Here is a 4,847-nt window from a genome sequence, read left to right on the forward strand (position 1 = left end):
AAACAATAATTAGCAGCGAGTTTGACATTTTAAAACAAAATCTTCTAATTAGCTACGAAGAACACCCAACTCCCCTCTATTATTTATTTTTCTTCTACCTTAATAATTGGCTGGCCTCATATTACCTATTTCTACAAAAACAAAAATGAAACAAACAAAAAACACTCTCAAGGATGCTCAAAGAAAAGGAAGAGGGAGCCAAGATGGCCGCCTCCACCGCCCAGTTTCGTGACAGAAGCGGAGAGCAAGGCGGCGGCGGGGCCGCGCGCTGGGCGCGACGGGAGCGCGCGCCCGCCTGGCCACCCCAGCCCAGGCTCCCGAGCCCGGGCCCTGCGGCACCCCCCGCGCCGCCGCCGCCGCCGCGGGACGGGCCCAGGGACTGGCCCAAGGCCGGGCGGAAGCCGGGGCCCGAGCCCGAGTCAGCGCCAGGCCTGGGTTCTGAGGAAAAGGCAATGGTGGCCATGGACCTGGGCTCTCTTCACTCCCTAAGAAAAGCCTGCCTGTCCCTGGGGCCCTGGAGCAGGTGGCCAGTTGGCTGAGCAGCAAAGTGGCTCCAGAGGTTCCTCATGGCAGCAAACAGGAGCTGCAGGACCTCAGATCCCAGAGCCTGCCACCTGCAAGGTCTGTGGCGCCTGCTTTGGGACCGGAAAGGGCCTGTCCATCCACACACGCTCCCACCTGCGGCAGCTGGGAGTGGCAGAGTCAGAGACGAGCGGCGTACCCATCAACCTCCTCTAGGAGCTTGTGAAGCAGAAGAGCATGCCCGACGCCCACCTTGGGCTGCCCCCGGGCCTGGCTAAGAAGTCCAGCTGGCTGAAGGAGGTGGTCGCCCGGGACCCCGGCCCGGCTTGCTTACCCTGGCCAAATCCTTGGATGCCCCTGCTGTCAACAAAACCATCAAGTTGCCTCTCGGCTTCTCGACCAAGGGCCTGGGCCAACTCCCAGCTCTCCGCTCCTTGAAAAGACACCACTGGCCCTGGAGGGCTCCCCTACTCCTAAGAATCCTGAGGACAAGAGCCCCGAGCTATCCCCGAGCCCATGGCCGGCCTCCCAAAAGGCACAGTGGCCTCAGTCAGGCCCTTGAACCTCACCTCAGGCCTAGAGCCAGCACAAGAAATCTGTTGCTGTGAGTTCTCTGGTGAGTTCTTCTAGAACCGCAAGGGCCACTCGAGCCACACGGGCTCCCACCTGCAGCAAATAGGCGTGACCGGGGGGTACGTCAATGGCTCGCCCATCGACAGACTGTGGGAGATCCTGAAGAGACGGACCCAGTTTCGCTCTGGCAGACCTCCCAACCCGCCAGGGCCAAGTCCAAAAGCCCTGGCCAAGATGATGGACGGCACAGGTCCTGGCAGCTCACTGGAAACCCGCAGCCCCTCTGACCTTCACATCTCACCCTTGGCCAAGAAGTTGCCGCCGCCACCAGGCAGACCCCTGGGCCACTCACCAACTGCCTTTCCTCCTCCCGTGCCCGGAAGATGTTCCCAGGTCTGGCTGCACACTCCCTGCCCAAGAAGCTGAAGCCTGAACAAATACGGGTGGAGATCAAGCGGGAGATGCTGCCGGGGGCCCTTCGTGGGGAGCTGCACCCATCTGAGAGTCCCTGGGAGGCACCACGGGAAGACATGATACCCCTGAACCTGTCTTCCCGGGCAGAGCCGGTGCGCAATATCCCCTGTGAGTTCTGCAGCGGGTTCTTTGAGAACCGCAAGGGCCTGTGTAGTCACGCACGCTCCCACTTGCTGCAGATGGGTGTGACCGGGTGGTCCGTCCATGGTTCGCCCATTGACACTGCGAGAGATCCTCAAGAAGTCCAAGCTGTGCCTCATCAAGGAGGAGCCACTGGCTGCAGACCTGGCCCCGGCCTTGGCTGAGGATGGGCCTCCCACTGTGGTCCCTGGGCCCGTTGCCGGTATCTTCTGGCCGGCCAGGCAAACCAGGCTCAGGGCCGGCCCAGGTTTCCTCGCGAGCTCAGCCTGAAGCCCATCACTGGGGCCAAGCCCTCACCCACTGGCTACCTGGGCTCAGTGGCAGCCAAGTGGCCTCTGCAGGAGGACTGCCTCCTCCCAGCAGAGGTCAAGGCCAAGACCTACATCCAGACTGAACCGCCCTTCAAGGCAAAGACCCTTCACGAGAAGACCTCCCATTCCTCCACCGAGACCTGCTGCGAGTTGTGTGGGCTTTACTTTGAAAACCGCAAGGCTCTGGCCAGCCACGCACGGGAACACCTGAGGCAGTTCGACGTGACCGAGTGGTGCGTCAGTGGTTCGCCCATCGAGACACTGAGCGAGTAGATCAAGCACCAGCCCCAGAAGGTGGGCACCTACCACAACTACATCCAGGGCGGCTGCCCCTTCACCAAGAAGTTCCCCAGTGCCATCCATGGCCGTGACAGTGACAAGCGGCCGTCCCTGGGGCTGGCACCTGGGAGCCTGGCCATGGTAGGACGCAGCGCTGGGGGCAGGGCCTGAGGCTGGCGCGGCAGTCGACAGTGGTAAGAGGCCTCTGGCAGCCAGCCCGCCAGGCACCGTGAAGGCTGAGGAGCACCAGCCGCAGAACATCAACAAATTCGAACGCCGACAAGCTCGCCCTGCAGATGCCTCCGCAGCCCGGGGAGGTGAGGAGACCAATGACCTACAGCAGAAGCTGGAGGAGGTGAGGCAACCTCCAACCCGAGTCCGGCCAGTCCCCTCCCTGGTGACCTTGACATCACTTGTCAAGTTCGTGGGCAACATCTACACGTGTCCTCAAATGCAGGTTCTGCGAGGTGGAATTCCAGGGCCCCCTCTCTATCCAGGAAGAGTAGGTGCGGCACTTACAGCGGCACATCCTGGAGATGAACTTCTCCAAAGCGGACCCCCAGCCTAAGGAGTCCCAGGTCCCGCAGGCACAGACAGTGGCGGCAGAGGCTTCCTAACACAAAAGCATTCCAGATCCCCTCTCGTGCCACCTATGTCTCCTCTTCTTCCTCTGTGTCCTCGTCCCTCTTCCTCTTTCTTTCCATTTCCATAGGAGTAAGCCAAAACCTCAAACCAGCGCCCCCTTGGGGGCTGGGCACACTACAGCCAGGGCGCCGGGAGCCAGCTAGCCGCCCTTCCCCCAGCCCAAAGACTCTGGGACCACAGGGTGTCTTCCTTCAGCCTATGCCCACCTGGTCCAGCAGGGGCAGCAGCCAGGTCTCGGGTGGCAGCCGATCTGGTCACAGGGGAGGACAGCATTCCCCCGTCTAGCAGCCAGGCAGGGCGATGTCTGCCATCGGTGGCCATTTGCAAAGACCCCAAAGACCCCTGTTCTGGTTTCCTCTCGCCCCCATGAATATCCTCTCAAACGCGTCTACATGCGAACACACACGCACCTCGTGAGACCTGGGATCTGCCCCGGACCCCCAGTTCCAGGGTTGAACGACCACATCATGCCACAGTGCTTGCTCAGGGGAAGCCACGCTCCCTCTGTGGGGCCCGCTGGAGCCTGGGAGCCCCCCACTGACCCCACAATGCCACGGAAATCCTTGTTGGCTGCCCCCCAGAGGGGCCTTCCCAACTGGGAAGAGCCTAGAGCTGACAGCTGGCTCCTGCCATGTCAAGACTCCCAAAGAGCGGGGTGGGACTCTCCTCCCCCACCCCTGCCCCTCCCCCTCCCCCTTTTCACTGTTGCTTTCTATGTATGGCTCCCTACATTTTTCACTTTTTTAAAAACGCGTTTTGTGTATAAAATAAAGAACGTGGATCTTTTTATTTTGCAATCCTGGGCCAGCTAGAAGCCAGGAGCTGATTGACCTTTTAGCTTTTTTCAGTGGCCGCATTTTGATTATCGATGTACCTAGAAGTATGTAAATTAGATTAAATTTCTCTTCTGGAAAAGCCCCGGGGGGAAGAAAAAAGAAGGAAGAGAGGACTCCCACTTGAAGTAATCAATGAGGTATAGGAAGGAGGAAAAAATGGCCAAGGAATCTGGGGAGCCAGGAATGCTGTGACAGGAATGGGAAGCTGAAATGACAACTTGGATGTGGTCAAAATTTTATTAATTCTTTTCCAAAACAACACTCTTGTAGGATAAGATTATCTTATTCCCATTTTACAGATAAATAACCTAAGTTGCTCATGCAAGAAAATGAATATTTTATATATGTTTATATATTTGTGTACACACACACACAAATATGGACATACACCTATGTATATATTACATGAATAAATACATATATACATATGTGTGCATACATATATATGTTATATTTATAAAATCTTCCCTCGTGACAAAAATGATTTAAGTTAGTTTTAACATCTTTAAGATAGTAAGCAAAAGAAGTGAAATTGATACTTAGTGTTGACAACATAGATGTGTGACTGGATGCCCAACAAAGCAGTGAAGAAATTCACTTTCTACTGACTGCTTAAAATCATGAAACCAACTCATGTGTTAAATACCATTACATGTTAAACCAATGCATGGACCAAGCAGAACAATTCCTGAAATGTCCATTAGGCAGTAATTCTGTTGAAGAACTCCATATTATCCAAGGTTTCTATAGTGTATATTTTACATTGTTAGTCTTACCACCCACAAAGGAGATTTTAATATTAGAATTAGGAGTCTGAACTTGAGTTTGAATTTTCTTTTTTTTTTTTAATTTTTATTTGTTTTACTTTAAGTTCTGGGATACATGTGCAGAACGTGCAGTTTTGTTATATAGGTATACATGTGCCATGGTGGTTTGATGCACCTATCAACCTGTCATCTAGGTTTTAAGCCCCACATGCATTAGGTATTTGTCATAATGCTCTCCCTGCTTTTTCCCCCTATCCCCCTACAGGCCCTGGTGTGTGTTGTTCCCCTCCCTGTGTCCA

The 4,847-nt window shown here is 55.0% G+C and overlaps 1 pseudogene; it reads left to right on the forward strand.

Moving 5' to 3' along the window:
• The first annotated feature begins 876 nt into the window (after positions 1–876).
• WIZP1 (WIZ pseudogene 1) lies at positions 877–3,206 on the forward strand (annotated as a pseudogene).
• Positions 3,207–4,847: the final 1,641 nt, after the last annotated feature.

Source organism: Homo sapiens, chromosome 11 (genome assembly GCF_000001405.40).
Source record: "Homo sapiens chromosome 11, GRCh38.p14 Primary Assembly".
Classification (NCBI taxonomy): Eukaryota; Metazoa; Chordata; class Mammalia; order Primates; family Hominidae; genus Homo; species Homo sapiens.